Raw genomic sequence first — 17,735 nt, 5'->3', positions numbered from 1 at the left:
AGGAAGAAATCAGAGCTGGGCCTGTATGGAGGTGAGCCACCTCCATAGCTGTATCACTGAGATACAGCTCAGGTACAGAGGGAAGGAACAGCTGGGGAGAGGAGCAGGTGCCTGAGAACTGAGCCTCAGAGATGCCCACAGTTACAGTGCAGGAGGAGGAAGGCAGTAAGAGAGATGGGGCAAGAATATTGGAAGAGGTCAGGAGGAAATCAGAATTTTATTATTATTTTTTTTGGAGACGGACTCTCACTCTTTTGACCAGGCTGCAGTACAGTGGTGTGATCTCAGCGCACTGCAGCCTCCGACTCTGGTGTTCAAGTGATTCTGCCTCAGCCTCCCGAGTAGCTGAGATTACAGGCATGTGCCACCACACCTGGCTAATTTTTGTATTTTTAGTAGAGACGGGATTTCACCATGTTGTCTAGGCTGGAGTCGAACTCCTGACCTCCTGATCCGCCCACCTCGGCCTCCCAAAGTGCTAGGATTACAGGTGTGAGCCACCACACCTGGCCCTAATTTTTGTATTTTTAGTAGAGACAGGGTCTTGCCAAGTTGGCCAGGCTGGTGCTGAACTCCTGACCTCAGGTGATCTGCCTGACTCGGCCTCCCAAACTGCTGGGATTACAGGAGATGTCAATGTCTGAAGCTATTTGGTATGCAACAAGATCCTCAAAGTGTCAAGAAAAAGAAAAGGAGAAAATGTTTGAAGATAAATGGGGTAGTTAAGAGGCAAAGGAGAGGGAAAAAATAAATATGTGGAGGCAAGAGGAAATGAATGCAGGGCCATATTTCTTCAAGAGTTGGGAGATAACTGAAGCTTTCGAGTAAATTAGGCACTCCTCTTCCAAGATTGGAATGCTCCAATTTGGCCAACTCTCATCCAGCCTTGCTTCCTGGGATCATGAGTTGTATTCTCAAGAAGCTAGACAAACAAAATTAGCAGGGTATGGTGGTGCGTGCCTGTGGTCCCAGCAGTTCAGGAGGCTGAGGTGGTTAAGATTGCTTGAGCCCGGGAAGTTGAGGCTGCAGTGAGCTATGATTGCACCACTGCACTCCAGCCTGGGCAAGAGAGTGAGATCTTTTTTTTTTTTTTAAGAAAAAAAAAAAAAAAAAAAAAACAGCAGCAGCTAGGTTATGTGTTTTCTTCCCAAGCCATTACCTATGTTATTTTTACATAACATTCCATCAACAATGAAGGAATGTTGGTCTGGGGAGACCCCAGGCCTCTGTAAAAGCGAGAGATATCAAGGAAAGGCAAGATAATGAGTTAGGATGGGAAGATGTACTCTTCTAGGGTATCTTCTTTCATATGGACCTGAGGGTGTTAAGGGGTACAGTGGGAAGGGGGAGTGAATCAAAGCAACTAACTTGCAATATCATGGCATGCTCAGGTGGGACCTCAGATCTCTGACTCATTCGCCCTGATACCACAGTTTTCCAATTTGATATTTCCTGAGAAACCAGGAAGTGCCCGTGGCTGTACATAAATACCAGGCCAACAGGCTACAGGGGTGTGACAGTGCTGGTAGTCATATTTGGGAGGAAGATCCATGTTTGTATTCATAGCTGCACAGCAGACCTGGTTCCACAGTGTCAGACACCCCTTTCTTCTCATCATAAACTGAAAGGAAACAAATCAATGAAATATATTGCATTTCATTGAATCCAAAACATCACAATCATAGCAGAGTGATGCTTAGGGCACTCTGCTAAGTAATACTAGTTGCTGCTTTTTTTTTTTTTTTTTTTTTTTTTTCAGATGGAATCTCACTCTGTTGCCCAGGCTGGAGTGCAGTGGCGTGATCTTGGCACACTGCAGCCCCCACCTCCCAGGTTCAAGCGATTCTCATGCTTCAGCCACCTGAGTAGCTGGGACTATAGGCATGTACCATCACACCCAGCTACGTTTTTGTATTTTTTTTTTTTTTCAGTAGAGACAGAGTTTTGCCATGTTGGCCAGGCTGATCTCAATCTCCTGGCCTCAAGTGATCCACCTGCCTCAGCCTCCCGAAGTGCTGAGACTACAGGCATGGGCCACCACACCTGGTCTCAATTGCTGCCATTTATTAAATGCCATTTGCTGTGCTAAGTACTGTAGGTTGAGTGCATACAGAGTACACAGGTCAGTCCAGTAGAGTCTAAGCTCCATGATAGCAGTGGATGAAGATGGTATTTCCAGAATCTAACATAGTACTTGGCATATAATAGATGCTCAATAAATATTCTACTTTGGGTCCCAGAATGTGTGTATCAGAAGTTAAATAGCAAGGGTTATTACCTGTTGCCGAAGAGGTGAATTTCGAGGAAAGAGCAATCCAAGGACTAGAGAAAGTGTCATGGAGAAGCTGGGATTTGAGCTTTAAAAGACAGTAGGTGAGCAGAAAGGATGGAAAAGGCCCAGAGACAAGCTAGGCTTGTCCTGTTCAAGGACTAATAGGGAAACAGACCATTAAACTTTGTTGTTACAGGTTTCATAATAGTGGCAGGTGCCCAGTTCTCTGGGCTCGCTGAGAGGAAATGACTAACTGGATGATTAGAAAGAGGCCTCCCATAGTAAGTGATGTTCCTTGCGGAACTGGTTAGAAGTTGGTGTACTCATACCCAACTGAGAGGAGTAAATGAAGTAAAAGAGTGGGAAGTCGGCTGGGCATGGTGGCTCACACCTGTAATCCTAGCACTTTGGGAGGCTGAAGCAGGAAGATTCCTTGAGCTCACGAGTTGGAGCCCAGCCTGAGCAACATAGTGAGACCCCATCTCTACAAAAGATTAAAAAAATAACTGGGCGTGGTGGCTTGTGCCTGTGGTTCCAGCTACTTGGGAGGATTGCTTGAGCCCAGGAGGTTGAGGCTACAGTGAGCTTTGAGTGTGCCGCTGCATTCTAGCCTGGGCAACAGCGAGACTCTGTCTCAAAAACAAAACAAAAAAGACTGAGAAGTCGCGTCAGAGTTCAGAGCTGAAAGTGACAAACAGGCCCAACCCCTTTGTTACACACACAGAAGCAACAGCCCAGAAAGGTTGTATAACATGTCCAAGGTCACACAGGTAGGAGGGAGGCAGGGTGAGGCCTTCTGAATTATTGTCTGAGTGCTTTATTCACCACACCTGCTGCTCTCCCAAGATCTAGGAGCAGCTCCACATATATCCCCAAAAGTCGAAGTCTGGGAAGAGATAGGGGAATGAAGTGACTTTACCCCACCCATATCCTAGGTTTAATCAGATTTTACCATCAAAATATTGGAAATATAGGGCTGGGCGCGGTGGCTCACACCTGTAGTCCCAGCACTTTGGGAGGCCGAGGCGAGTGGATCACCTGAGGTTGGGAGTTTGAGGCCACTGTGACCAACATGGAGAAACCCCTTCTCTACTAAAAATACAAAATTAGCCAGGCGTGGTGGCGCGTGCCTGTAATCCCAGCTACTCGGGAGGCTGAGGCAGGAGAATTGCTTGAACCCAGGAGGCGGAGGTTGCGGTGAGGCGAGATCACATCATTGCACTCCAGCCTGGGCAATAAGAGCAAAACTCTGTCTCAAAAAAAAAAAAATGGAAATATAGTAATCCTTATTTTGAGAGATTAGGTTCACCCTTTTAAATAAATAAAACCTAAACACTTACTACCTAAGTTTATTCTATTTTGTCTTATTCTTTTGTTTCATGAATTTATATCTTGCCTGTTAGACTAGATTCATTCACTCAAATGGAACTAACTTTAAAGACCATCTAGTTTAACTCCAGTTATTTTGCTATTCCTGAAGTTCCAACAGATGAAACAACTTGACTGAAACTACAGAATGCTTTAGAGGACATTTCAGCTTTCCATATCCTTGCCCCAGCTCCCAGATGGAGTCTTCCTCTGTCGCCCAAGCTGTAGTGCCGTGGCACCATCTTGGCTCACTGTAGCCTCCGCTTCCCAGGTTCAAGCGATTCTCCTGCCTCAGCCTCCCAAGTAGCTGGTGGCGCACGCCACCACATCCGGCTAATTCTTGTATTTTTAGTAAAGACGGGGTTTTACCATGTTGGCCAGGCTGGTCTCAAACTCCTTACCTCAGGTGATCAACCTGCCTTGGCCTCCCAAAGTGCTGGGATTACAGGCGTGAGTCACAGCACCCAGCCTATAATTAAAACTTTAAACGATTATAATTTAGATCAACTGATTTTTGGGGAGGAAGGTGGGATAGTTGTAAAAGATATATAAAATGTTATGAGAGCAAGTGGAAGGAATAAAAGTAAACCGCCTAATTAATATAAACTGAAGAAAGTGATTTTTATAGAGTAGGAGAGAAAAATAGAGGGTTATGTAGTTGAGCAAATTTTGAACCATCACTGTAGTGTTAATGGAAATATAATGCAGGAAATGGCCATGCTTTTATGGATAAGACACAAAATCCAGAACGGGCCTTGACGTTTAATGGAGAGCACTGGCTTGGGAGGCCAGTTTTGAATATGCTGCTTTATGAGCTGTTTGGTCTTAAACAAGTCATTTTATTCCTCTTTGCCTGTTTCCTCATTTGTAAAACGTGAGCACTATTACCTTGCCTCAAGAGCCTTGGTAAAATAGAACATCGGATTCTGTGTGTATGTGTGTAGAAAATAGAGCTTTTCATGTAAAGTTTTATTGACTGACATAAAAATTTGCTTATTAAACAGTGATAACTTTAATTTTACAAAAATTATCTTTGCTGTGTCGATTATTTTACTTATGCTGCCTAAAGATTAAAAAATAATAATCCCACAGTTTTAAGATTATCAGCATACCATGCTAGGATTTATGTGTATTTGGTGAGTGTTCAGAAATGGTGTTTGAGTTACTCCTAGTATTAAACTCACTATCCTGCAGCATAAGAAGTTGCAGACCATGGTGAAACCTTGTCTCTACTAAAAGAACAAAAATTAGCTGGGTGTAGTGGCAGGTGCCTGTAATCCCAGCTACTCGGGAGGCTAAGGCAGGATAATTGTTTGAACCTGGGAGGCGGAGGTTGCAGTGAGCCCAGATTGTGCCACTGCACTCTAGCCTGGGCGACAGTGAGACTCCTTTTCAAAAAAAAAAAAGAAGTTGCAGACTCCTGTAATTTGGGCACTTGATCCTCATTTGTTGTCCTGTTTGCCTAGATTGGGACCTGGATATGAAAAGGGGAAAGGGAGGCTTTGAGCTGGGTCTCCGAGGTGGAATTTCTCCCAGCAGGGATTTTACTTCAGGCTACTTGCCAAAATAGACCGACATTACAGAGCAAAAGCCACCAGGAACGTTTTTCCTCTTGCTGTTGAGATTTAGGACCTAACTGTAATAGATTTACCTCTGAAGTTTGGTGATCCAGGAAGTCTGCTATGAGCCCTGCAGCTCTGGAAGTTTTACACAGAGCAGGATAAAATTTCTCCAAGTAGAAGTAAAGTAGGTGCTAGAGGAAAAGCAGTGGGGGTTGGGTGGGCTGGCCAGAGTGTTGTGGTAACACGGAAAACCAGGGTTTGTGATTCCTCCAGGCAGGGCTGGGGAGAAGATGAGCACGTGTACAGACAAATCGCCTCCTCTCAGGGTTTGCTGCAGAAAGACTGCTTCTAGATGCGTTGCTAGGCAGGCAGTTGTGTTTTTGCTTTCTATTTTGCATATTATTTCAACAATGTTTTCCTTTCTTTTCTTTTTTTTTTTTTTTTTTTTTTGAGACAGAGTCTTACTCCATCGCTCAGGCTGGAGTGCAGTGGCACGATCTTGGCTCAATGCAACCTCTGCTTCCTGGGTTTAAGGGATTCTCCTGCCTCAGCCTCCTGAGTAGCTGGGACTACACTACAGGTGGGCACCACTGCGCCCAGCTAATTTTTGTATTTTTTTTAGAGACGGGGTTTCACCATGTTGGCCAGGCTGGTCTCGAACTCCTGACCTCGTGATCCACCCGCCTCGGCCTCCCAAAGTGCTGGGATTGCAGGCATGAGCCACCGCGCCCAGCCCCTATTTTCTTCATCCATTTATAGGGATTGATAGGTCAGGAAAGAAACCTCAGATTATTAAAATGTAAAGAACGTTTGAAATGGACTAACGGTAGTTGGGGGCTGACTGTTAGAACATTCTCGTTTTACAGCAAATGTTCTTTTTTCTACTTTATTATTCTTTGTCATAGCAATATTATATATTCATCATAGAAATACTAGAAATGGGAATAAGTGAAAAGAAAGGAAAAACTCGGTTTCTGTCACCTTTAACACTCTTTTCAAATATGTGCATTTAAAATATTTTTCCCTTTTTAACAAAACTACAATTCTTTCATAAACTTTTTTCAGCAATTCACGTTAGATGTCACCCAGGCTGGAGTACATTGGCACAACCTCAGCTCACTGCAACCTCCATCTCCCAGGTTCAGGTGATTCTCCTGTCTCAGCCTCCAGAGTAGCTGGGATTATAGGCGCGTGCCACCACAACCAACTAATTTTTGTATTTTTAGTGGAGACGGGTTTTCGCCATGTTAGCCAGGCTGGTCTTGAACTCCTGACCTCGGGTGATCCACTGCCTTGGCCTCCCAAAGTTCTGGAATTATAGGTGTGAGCCACTGCGCCTGGCCTTATAAGAGTATTTTATTATATGGGCATGCCATAGTTTATTTACCTGGGCCCTTTTGCTCTTTTGGTTTTTTATTGAGACAGAGTCTCACTCTGTCACCAAGGCTGGAGTACAGTGGCGTGATCTCGCTCACTGCACCCTCCGCCTCCTGGAATTAAGCAATTCTTCTGCCTCAGCCTCCTGAGTAGCTGGCACTACAGGCACACTCCACTGCTCTCTACCCAGACCCTTTTGAGGAAATTTTAGTTCTTTCTGTTTAGGTTGCTTCTAAGCTTTTTAAAACATTGACCATCCCTGAATGAACATATTTGTGCCCTTGTCCAATTATTTAGTAGAATAAATTCCTAAAAGCAGGCTTCTGGGCTATAAGGTTTGATTTTTTTTAAAGTAGATAAAGTATTGAGGTTCGATTTTTTTTTTTAAGTAGAAAAAATATTAAAGTTTTAATTTACTCCCCTATCCCTCTTTGCCCTCGATTTTAACTTTTAAAATGAAAAGACTTAATAAAATTGGCCTTTCCCTTCATTTCACATAATTTCTGCCATAAATTACCTGGAATACCGTTGCATATTTTCTGTGTATGACACAACTAGGTTAGATTCTGTCTGAGGGATTTACTTATTTATTTTTTTATTTTGAGACAGAGTCTCGCTCTGTCGCCCAGGCTGGAGGCGCAGCCTCTGCCTCCCAGGTTCCAGCGATTCTCCTGCCTCAGCCTCCTGGGTAGCTGGGATTACAGGCACACGCCACCACGCCCAACTAATTTTTGTAATGTTAGTAGAGACAGAGTTTCACCATGTTGGCCAGGCTGGTCTCAAACTCCTCACCTCAGGTGATCCGCCTGCCTTGGCTTCCAAAAGTGCTAGGATTACAGGCATGAGCCACTGTGCCCAGCCTGTCTAGGTAATTTATGTTATATTGGGTGGCATTTTATAAATGCAATCATATTAATATGTGCAAATATGCTTAAATGTATCATTGTTCACAGTCTTATTGTGGGCAAACTGTGGCTCTAATTATCAGGTTAAATTGTGCTCTAGAATTGCACCACTTTGCTATTAGCTACCAGATGGCTACCAAAACCCAAAAGTGGAATTCCAGGTTAGAATGCATATGGTTTGCCTTCCTGGGAAAAAAAGAGACAGAATAGCTATTGGTAAAGAGCACAGACTCTGGAGCCAAGGTAGGTTGAAATCTCAGCTCTTCTACTTACTGGGGCAGTTACTTAATTTTTCTTCCTTCCTCATCAGTAAAATGGGGACAATAATAGGGTGTTTTGAAGCTAAATTAATATTTGTAAAATACCTAGAACAGTGCATGACACACATAGTGCCATATAAATATTTGTTTTCTTTTCTTTTTGACACAGGGTCTCACTCTGTTGTCCAGGCTGGTGTGCAGTGGAGCTATCACAGATCACTGCAACCTCAACCTCGAAGGCCCAGGTGATCCTCCCACTTCAGCCTTCGGAGTAGCTGGGACTACAGGCACGTGCTACCACGCCCAGCTAATTTTGTTTGTTGTTTGTTTTGTAGAGACTGAGGGTCTCACTATGTTGCCCAGGCTGGTCTCGAACTCCTGGTTTCAAGTGATCCTCCCGCCTCTATCTCCCAAAATGCTGGAATTATAGTCATGAGCCACTGTGCTCAGCCAGTATGACTTTTTTTTTTTTAATTATTTTGTTCCTGTGAGGTTAAAAAGTACTGGTTAAGTTTGAGTCCCCATTGATCTCAACTTCTCCCCCAAATCCTAGGTCCTTCCCTGAGACAAACTCTGGGATGAATTTCGTGTGTTTTCCTTCCAGACCTTTCTCTCTACACTTACATAATTTTATATATATGCGTGTGTGTGTGTGTGTGTGTATGTATATATGTATATGTGTGTATATGTGTGTAGATGTATATATGTGTATATGTGTATATATATGTATATATATGTGTGTGTGTGTATATATATATATATATATATTTTTTTTTTTTTTTGAGACAGAGTTTCACACTTGTTGCCCAGGCTGGAGTGCAATGGTACGATCTCGGCTCACTGCAGCCTCTACCTCCCAGGTTCAAGCGATTTTCCTGCCTCAGCCTCCCAAGTAGCTGGGATTACAAGTGTGTGCCACCACACCAGGCTAATTTTTTTGTATTATTAGTATAGATGGGGTTTCACCATGTTGACCAGGCTGGTCTTAAACTCCTGACCTCAGGTGATCCACCCATCTCGGCCTCCCAGGGTGCTGGGATTACAGGCCTCACGTGAGCCACTGCGCCCAGCCTATATGTTTATATAGAAATATGTATGGGTTTTTGCAGATTTTCCTTTCTTTCGTCTCTTTTCCCCGTTCTCCATTTTCTTACAAAATTGTGCATTTTCTTAAAAAATTGTGGCATATTGTTGTGTGCCTTTCTTCTCCCTGGTTCATTTAAGTGTAAATGTTTGGAAGATGTGAGCGGGACTCCCAGTTCCTGTGAATCACTCCTGCCATCCCTGTTCTTGCTGTCCTGGGACTACCCAGCTGAAATCTGCTCTGTGATGGCTTTAGGGTTCATTGCCTAAAGGAGGGGGAGGTTTGGGGTCCCTTGGCTAAGCTGTGGGTGAAAGACTGCATAAAGAGGCTCAGGAGCAGACTAAACAGGCAACTGCTGCCCACTTCACAGTTTTGCCTCTCATCACAAGAGATGGCTGGGCCTTTGGAATTCTTTCCTCAAAAGGGCATTCCCCATTTCCCACGCAAAACAACAACAAAAAGGCTTAGCATGGGGTAGAAAAGGAAGAGATAATAATCTTAGATTCAAACTCCAGAGGTGGAATTTCGAGGGTTTTAGGACTAGGAAAGAACACCAAATAGAAAGGAAGGTGTTGATCCAGGTACTGCTGGGCCCGCTGGTGCACTTCTCAGTCCAGTACGCTTAGGGTTCCAGCTCCATCCTTTAGGACAAGCCCTGCTGTGATAGCCCGGGTGACTTGCGCGATTCATATGTAAATGTGGGAAGCCTGGGGGAAATGCCGACCCTATTCAAAGGAGTTTGGGGGGTTGTGGAGCATTCCAGAGCTCTGGGAAGATTCTGTCCCGCCTGCTTACCCTCAGGCCCACACCTCCACACACAGCCAGCTCTGGGCACTGCAGGTAGGTCCTGGGGTGTGGGAGCCAGCACAGAAGGAAGTGGAACAGGCAGCCTCTTCGTCCCTGTTCAAGGGCACCTGGGATCTGGCCGGGAGCTCAAAATTTTCCCCATTAGAGATAGATCCAGCTTTCTGAGGCAAGGGAAGGGCGCATGGCTCTGCTCTTTAACTCTGAAGTGTGTGTGATGGAGTTGTGGGAAGCCGTGGGCTAATGACTCCCTTCCTTCGAACTTTAGGAAGTGAGCCTGGTGATAATGTACTAACCGGAAAGGGCTGGGGGTGTCTTGAGAAGGAATGGAATCAGGACTTGGGGTGGGGGGTAAGCCACAATCACTGAAGGAACCCCACAACTAATTGTTTTATCACAGGAAGTAAATTTGTGCAACAGTCCCAGCTCCTTTAACACCTGCCGGGCTATCCTAGGAAGAAAGTAAGAGCTCGTCTGCACATTTTATTGTTCTCATAGAAAAGTGGAATTTTAGAGTCTGCACAGGGCACTTTTCTGCTTGGTACATTTTACCAAGTGTATTTACCATCTATCAGGTGCAGATGGCATATTCGGGCCCATTGTGGGAAAAGGACTTATGTTTGTTGGGTTATTACCTTGTTTAACTCCCTCAACTACTCTGCAAAGCAAGTATTATTATCCTCATTTTATAGATTGGGAAATTGAGGCCAAGAGATAAAAGTGGACATTTCCAAGGCTCCCCAGCTACATAGTGGGGAAGTGCAAGATTCAAAGCTTCTTTTTCCACCACAGCTGGCTGGGGGTGAAGGCCGCCTTCTCCCGCTTTGTTGTCCGGGATACTAAAAATTTAATTTTTTTAGAGACGGGTGTCTCACTATATTGCCCAGGCTGGTCTTGAACTCCTGGGCTCCAGCAGTCTTCCCACCTCAGACTCCCAAAGCGCTAGGATTACAGGCATGAGCCACCACGCATGGCCCAGATACTAAAATTTTAGAGCAGATATTTTTATTAGAATATATGTGGCATAAAGGAAAAAGTTTTTATACTTACAGTCATTTCAAGCCAGACTTTAAAATTTGACTTAATCTTTGAAAACTCTCTTTGAGTGTTAATAAATGTTTGTGGCACCTGAAGGTCACCTGTGTCTTCAGAAATACCTTGGGTTGCCAGGAGCAGTGACACATGCCTATAGTCCCAGCTACTTGGGAGGCTGAGGTGGGAGGATCGCTTGAGAGCCCCAGGAGTTTGAAACTAGTCTGGGTAACAACCCCCTCCTTTAAAGAGAGAGGAAGAGAAAGAGGAGGGAAGGAAACACCTAGGGTTTTATTAAAATTGCGGATACCCCGGTCCCACCCAGGTTTGCTGAATCTGAATCCCAGGGATGGTGTCCAGGAAACTGCAATATAGTGAAAACATCCCACAGGGGTTTTTAATCACACCAAAGTGTTTGGGTTTTTAAAGGCTGCTCAAGAGTTTATAAACCCCATTTTCGGGGGGTGGGGGCACAGGGGAAGGCACGCTGGTAGTTTAAAAGAATTGTTATTGTTTTTCTCCATTTTAAAGAAATAAAAATCTAATACATAGGCTGGCTGGCTTCTGATTGATGAGTAAGTGCTTGCTGGTACTTTGTGTTTTCAACTACTATAATTAGTAGAATTTTGATTCTCAGGAGAGTACACAGTGGTTTCCAGGGAGTTTTTAAGATTTGAAGCAAATAAGCCCCTGACCTTTTCTCATTGAGATTCCAGGCCAGGGAAACCAAATGGTGCAGGATTAAGTGCACAGGATTTGGATTTAAATATATTTAGGTTCTAAATCCACAACTGCCATTTACTCACTATATAACCTCAGACAAGTTTGTCAGCCTCTCCAAGCCTGGATTTTCTTACCTATTAAATGGGAGTAATAATACCTACTTAAAAATTCTGATGTGAGTATTAAATGAGTTCAGGGATATAATCTGTAAAGTACCTGGCATGTGATAGGAATTCAGTAAATGTTCTCCCTCTCCAGAGCTTTTTAGTCTTGTATTTAAAATGAGTTTCTATTCTCAACTTGGCACTAATGAGACCATATTTGGGATTGAAAGTCTGTTGCTTTGAGATCACAAAGAAAATTTAAAACAAGCCTATTAGAAATAAATTTTATATGTAACACAATGAATTTAGAATCATAATCGAACACTGATGAAATCAGGGTTATGCTTCAAGTTTTGCCATTCATTCTACCAAAAAGTTCGAGAAAGAGCTTTTTCTGTTATGTCTTAAGTTTTATTTTGAATAATACCAAATATACAGAAAATTGCAATAGTACAATGAAAACTCCTGTATACATTTTATACAAATTCACCCATATTTAACATTTTGCTGTTTTTATCTCATTCTCTGTCAATCCCCACTCTCCACATGCAGTTTTTTTTTCTTTAATGAACTAAGAGTACATTGCATATATTGTGCCCCTTAGTAAGCTTCAGTGTGTATTTTGTATGAACATGGATTTTTTTTTGAGATGGAGTCTTGCTCTGTTCTCCCAGGCTGGAGTGCAGTGGTGCAATCTTGGCTCACTGCAACCTCTGCCTCAGCCTCCTGAATAGCTGGAATTACAGGCAAAATACAAATTTTTGTATTTTTAGTAGAGATGGGGTTTCACCATGTTGGTCAGGCTGGTCTCGAACTTCTGACCTCAGGTGATCTGTCCGCCTCAGCCTCAGACTCCCAAAGTGCGGGGATGACAGGCGTGAGCCACTGCACCTGGCCAGATTTTTTTTTTACTCAGGCTGGAGTGCAGTGGCATAATCTCAGCTTACTGCAACCTCTGCCACCCAGGCTCAAGCCATCCTCCCACCTCAGCCTCCTGAGTAGCTGGGACTATAGGTGTGTGCCAGTCCATGTGCTGCTAATTTTTGTATTTTTTGTAGAGGTGAGGTTTCACCATGTTGCCCAGGCTGGTCTTGAACTCCAAGCTCAAGTGATCTACCCACCTCGGCCTCCCAAAGTGCTGGGATTATAGGCATGAGCCACCACACTTGGCCTAAAATGGTGATTTGCTGACTCCATTATTTCTTCTCTTATTTATCAGCTGACATTCTACCATAACAAAGAGTTTTCTCTTCTCCCCCATTTATTTATGTACTTACATATTATCAATATGTACTTACAGGTTCTTATTCAGTGGAATAATCCATTGTGCTTTTTCATTTATACTCAAATTGTGCCAGATTGGCCAGTGGGAGCCCCTTCAAGCTGGCCTCTGTGCCCTTTGACCTATCCCCACCATGTTGTTGAGTACTTCTTCACTTTCTCCCACATTTCAGGCTCAGCTATACCTTCTCTGCCCCAGCCCTGGAATTAGCCATTTCTTCAAAGAACCCTGCCTCCTTTTAGTGGAGAATGGCATCTAGAAACCAGAATTTGGGTTGTATTCTAAAACACTGGAATTACTTTTTTGAGACAGGGTCTTTCTCTGTCACCCAGTCTGGAGTGCAATAATGGCACTATCTCGTGTCGCTGCAACCTCTGCCTCCTGGGTTCAAGTGATTCTCATGACTCAGCCTCCCAAGTACCTGGGATCACAGGTGTGTGCCACTATGCTTAGCATTTTTGTATTTTTAGTAGAGATGGAAGCTTGCCATGTTGGCCAGGCTGGTCTCGAACTCCTGACCTCAAGTGATCTGCCAGCCTTGGCCTCCCAAAGTGCTGGGATCATGGGCGTGAGCCACTGCACCCGTCCCAGAATTCCTAACTTCTGAGAGAAAGCAGTGTGGAAAGTGTTTTGGAGAATAAAATCTGCTGTGAAGGCCGACTTTCCTTAAGTAGTTTGAACACTTGTGTTTTTGCTTCTTAAACCTGGGTTAAAATAGTCCTGTAATTGTACTCAGACTTACTAGTATATTTACATACCAAATTTGTAGTTGTTTAATTGGATCATAAAGAATTTGATAGACTAAGCAGAGGCTGATTGTTTCACTGCTGTTCTTTTCCTTTGCTTATTACCATGTTTAATGCTCATTTCAGATGAACAAACGCTGTTCCATGTTTATAGATAACTCTCTCATCCTGTGTATCTAAGTAATAGTCAGATAATTGTAAAAGCTAATGACAGGATACATATTTGTTTTTTAGAATAATGCAGTTTAGTTCTTAGAGATTCTTATACTTGAAAATACCATTGATAAGCTTCATGTTTATAGTAAGTTTGTATCTACTAGGACATTTGAGTAACAAAACCTGCTTGTGAGTTTTGGTTAAGGTTTTCATAGGGAAAATCTAAACAATTTTTTTTACCTATTTCATTATATGCTAGTGTTGACCTACCATTACAGTGACTGGAAAATGATAGGTCCTATAATTATCCAGATCTCAGATGGATAATTTCTTATTTTTTATTTTACCCTTAGTTGGCATTGTTCTGTGTTCCCCATAATATTCTGTTTAATGTGCTACATCTGTATTTTGAACTTCCAGCTTGTTATTTCTGGTGCTTTGATCATGGACCATGTTTTATATCTGATTAAGTGAAAGCAAGTCTTATAAGGTCAGACCCCTCTAACCTCTTTTGCAAGGAGCTTGTAGACATGCTTTGTTCACTCAAAGTGGGCTAGCTACTTCTTTTCAGGACACATTCTCAAAATGGTATTGCACAGGTTGGAGTTCTCTCTGCAGTGATGGCTTTCTAAGCGCTTCAGCTGTCCCTGTTTACAACTGACATGTGCGATCTGATTTCCTGAGGGTTGACAATAGTGAGACCTTTGGTTCTCAGGAAATGGGTTCTGTTTGCCTCAAACTGTGGAAGGGTGCTGCTTTTACACCCAGAGCTGCTAACCAGTTCTCTTTTCCCTTCTAGAAATGACGCTCCTCTCCTCCCAGTCTTCATCACTGGTGGCCCCTTCTGGGTCTGTGTCTGCCGAAAATCCAGAGCAGAGGATGCTGGAGAAGAGAGCCAAGGTCATAGAAGAACTTCTTCAGACAGAAAGAGACTACATTCGGGATCTGGAAATGTGTATTGAGCGGATCATGGTACCCATGCAGCAGGCACAGGTGGGAACTGGGAGACAGAGTTAGTTTGACCTTGAATATGGTCCTCCAGGCCAGAAGCATTAGGATATAGGAGCTTTCGCCACAGATTTATTGGATTTGAAATAGAAACTGTGACTGTGAGTGCTGCTGCTCTTAATCAAGGGCCTCAACATACGTGTGTCATCAGCTAAGCCTTCAGCATCCTTTCACTTGTCAAGTCTACTGTTAACCTACCAGACACTGCAGTCACTCCTAGGACACTTCCTGTTTCTGTGGCTCCTGAAAGCAGTTCCAGGGAGTCTGAATCGTGGCCCTGCTAGAAGGCTGAGTGATGATGTAACAAAACCTGGGGGTGAGCAGTTACATGACTCTAGTACCTGTTCATATAGAGTTTATCCAGGAAACCCTTACTAACATGTGAGTAGGCTAGGGACTTTTCTAGATGCTGGAGGTAGTAAGAAAAGGGTAACAATGTCCTGGGGTTTATAGTCCTTGTTGCTTGTAACTTGACCAGCTGGGCTGGGCTTGGGTTTACACCCTTGGAGCATTCACTCCCAAGTACTTCTGCAGCAGGTAGGCAGTGCTACGGGATGTTGGTTGCGGGTGGGAATTTGTATCCCAGTGCATTTGTAGGCCAAATTGGTTCCATTATCACTTTACTAAAGTGCTGGTTGGGGTGGCAGAGAATAGTTGGATCAAGGACAAAGGATGACACTAAAGATAATGTTGGATATTTCTAGTCTGGAAACTTCATGAAAGTGAGTGAAGAAAGTGACCTTGAGCAATTTTTCTACAATTCTTGAAGAGCTGTTCCTAAGATGATTGAAATGCCATTAAGCTCATTTCCGTGCATTTTTATGTTTTGTTTCCTTTTCTCAGGTACCAAACATTGATTTTGAGGGACTTTTTGGAAATATGCAGATGGTGATTAAGGTCTCGAAGCAATTATTGGCTGCTCTGGAAATCAGCGATGCTGTAGGTATGAGCTCCTGTGTTGTTTCAGAAGCAGCTTTTTAAAAAAACTTCATGGGCAGGAGTAAGTGGCCTTCCTGATACTGAGTAACTATGCCTCCGGGAAGATACAGGTGTAGGTACTTAGTCCAGAGGTTACTTGTCCTCTGCTTTCCTTCTGTCTCAGCCTACTTTGGGGTAATAATAGGATGTTAGCAATAGAAGTAGTTTTGGATGTCATACAGTACAATGTTTTTCCACACTCATGGTTGCAGCCCATTACTGGGTCATGAGATCAACTTATTTTTCAAGAAAATACCAGAATGCGGCCAGGCACAGTGGCTCACACCTGTAATCCCAGCACTTTGGGAGGCCATGGCAAGAGGATCACCTGAGGTCAGGAGTTTGAGATCAGCCTGGCCAACATGGTGAAACCCTGTCTGTACTAAAAATAGAGCTGGGCGTGGTCATGGGCTCCTGTAATCCCAGCTACTTGGGAGACCAAGGTTGGAGGATTGCTTGAGTCTAGGAGGTTGAGGCTGCAGTGAGCTGAAATCGCGCCACGAGCCACTACACCACTGCCTGGGGTACAGAGCAAGACTTGGTCTCAAGAAAAAAAAAAACAAAAGAAAATATCAGAATGCACTGTAAGTTTAACTACCAATTTTTGAAACTTATCTGTTGTTTTTTTTTTGACACAGGATTTTTACACTGTCGCCCAGGTTGGAGTGCAGTGGTGCGAATTCAGCTCACTGCAGCCTCAACCTCCCAGCCTCAAGTCATCCTCCCTACCTTGGTCTCCCACATAGCTGGGAATACAGGCATGTGCCACCACGCCCAGCTAATTTTTGTAATTTTTTTTTTGTAGAGATGGAGTTTTGCCATGTTGCCCAGGCTGTGCCCAGGCTGGTTTCAAACTCCTGGGCTTAAGCGATCTACCCACCTCGGCCTCCCACATTGCTGGGATTACAGGTGTGAGCCACCACATCTGGCTGAAACTTTTATTTTCATTTCAAATATATGTGTACTGAGTCATAATTTAAAATACATTTATGTGGGACATTGTCAAAATGTTTTTAAAACATTCATCTAGTTCTTATAAACAAGGGAACTTATTGGTTATCCATTGCTATTTAACAATTTCACTGAAACTTAGCAGCTGAAAACATTAAACATGTATTACCTCGCTGCTTCTGTAGGTCAGGAGTCTGGAGGTGGCTCCGCTGGGTGGTTCTGGCCCAGGGTCTCATGAGGTTGGAGTCAGTTGTTGGCCTGGACTGCCATCATCTGGGGCTCAGGGATCTACTTCCAAGAAAGCTCACTCAGTTCTTCAGGCGTCAGTTTCTTGCCACGTGAGCCTCTCCCTGGGCTTTCCTCACGACGTGGCATGAGTCATGAGTCACCTAGAGTGACCTGTGAGAGAGAGCGAGAGACAGAATGAGAGAGAGCACGCAAGAGCAAGCACGCCTGAGACAGGAGCCACAGAGTCTTCTATAACCTGATCTTGAACATGACACAGCATCACTTCTGTCATGTTCTGTGGGTCCTACAGACCAGCCCTGGCACAGTGTGGGAGGGGACATCCTATCATTTTGCTGCTTTATTAGAATCCTAATTACAAGAGGCTACCCCAGTTCCAGCCATGACACCATATACAACAACATCCAGCAGAAGGAGTGACCCCTGTGTCGTTTTAAGAGTTTGCAAACCTTTTCCAGAGCTCCCTGATCAGATACCTTATTTCTCGTTGGCCAGAAGTGGGTGACATGCATGCAGCTAAGCTGATGGCTAGAAAGGGGAATGGGTCATGACACTGGCTTACACTAGATGGAATTTACCTGACTCACCTGGGAGAAAAACGGACACAGGAAAAAAATCAGGGTTCTGCCCCCTGAAGGGAGGAGGAAACAGCTCTGGGATGTTGTAGCATGGTTAATGTTTCCTGAGTGTTTCTCTCACCACATACCCTCACAAGATAGGTCCAGCTGGATCTCAGTTGTTCTCTACAATAGACAGCCCTCTGAGGTTTAGGTACTGTTGTTTCTTCTTTTTTTAGACAGGGTCTCACATTGTTATCCAGACTGGACTGCAGTGGCACAATGACAGCTCACCCACAGCCTCGATTACCCAGGTCAAG

The 17,735-nt window shown here is 43.9% G+C and overlaps 1 protein-coding gene across 12 annotated transcripts in view, besides 3 other annotated features; it reads left to right on the top strand.

Annotated features, from left to right (window-relative positions):
- The window catches only part of DNMBP (dynamin binding protein), a 134,377-nt gene that overhangs the window by 86,327 nt on the left and 30,315 nt on the right, over window positions 1–17,735 (top strand). For 6 of the 12 annotated variants that reach the window (NR_199816.1, XM_047424910.1, NM_001441288.1 and 3 more), the window contains 2 exons: window positions 14,475–14,668; window positions 15,527–15,626. Coding sequence is in view for 8 of the 12 variants with exons in the window: in XM_047424910.1 (XP_047280866.1) it covers window positions 14,475–14,668; window positions 15,527–15,626 (294 nt within the window). In the remaining 4 variants the exon portion in view is untranslated. Of the gene's footprint in view, window positions 1–9,584; window positions 9,669–14,474; window positions 15,000–15,526; window positions 15,627–17,735 lie in introns of those variants that run through there. The other 6 variants (NR_199817.1, NM_001441290.1, NM_001318327.2 and 3 more) reach the window with 3 other exon arrangements.
- Window positions 9,100–9,722: an enhancer, noted in NCBI's record as "OCT4-NANOG-H3K27ac-H3K4me1 hESC enhancer chr10:101673656-101674278 (GRCh37/hg19 assembly coordinates)". NCBI's record gives its function as "activates a minimal SCP1, AML or CMV promoter by ChIP-STARR-seq in naive and primed H9 embryonic stem cells {active_cell/tissue: H9 hESC(naive and primed)}" and the evidence as "EXISTENCE:reporter gene assay evidence [ECO:0000049][PMID:30033119]".
- Window positions 9,723–10,345: an enhancer, noted in NCBI's record as "OCT4-NANOG-H3K27ac-H3K4me1 hESC enhancer chr10:101673033-101673655 (GRCh37/hg19 assembly coordinates)". NCBI's record gives its function as "activates a minimal SCP1, AML or CMV promoter by ChIP-STARR-seq in primed H9 embryonic stem cells {active_cell/tissue: H9 hESC(primed)}" and the evidence as "EXISTENCE:reporter gene assay evidence [ECO:0000049][PMID:30033119]".
- Window positions 16,490–17,689: an enhancer, noted in NCBI's record as "MED14-independent group 3 enhancer chr10:101665689-101666888 (GRCh37/hg19 assembly coordinates)". NCBI's record gives its function as "activates an origin of replication core promoter dependent on BRD2, BRD4, P300/CBP and CDK7 cofactors, and independent of MED14, by STARR-seq in HCT116 cells {active_cell/tissue: HCT116}" and the evidence as "EXISTENCE:reporter gene assay evidence [ECO:0000049][PMID:35650434]".

This window comes from Homo sapiens, chromosome 10 (assembly GCF_000001405.40).
Source record: "Homo sapiens chromosome 10, GRCh38.p14 Primary Assembly".
Taxonomy (NCBI): domain Eukaryota; kingdom Metazoa; phylum Chordata; class Mammalia; order Primates; family Hominidae; genus Homo; species Homo sapiens.
The sequence above is the reverse complement of the archived record's forward strand: the minus strand, read 5'-3'. Positions and strand labels throughout refer to the sequence as shown.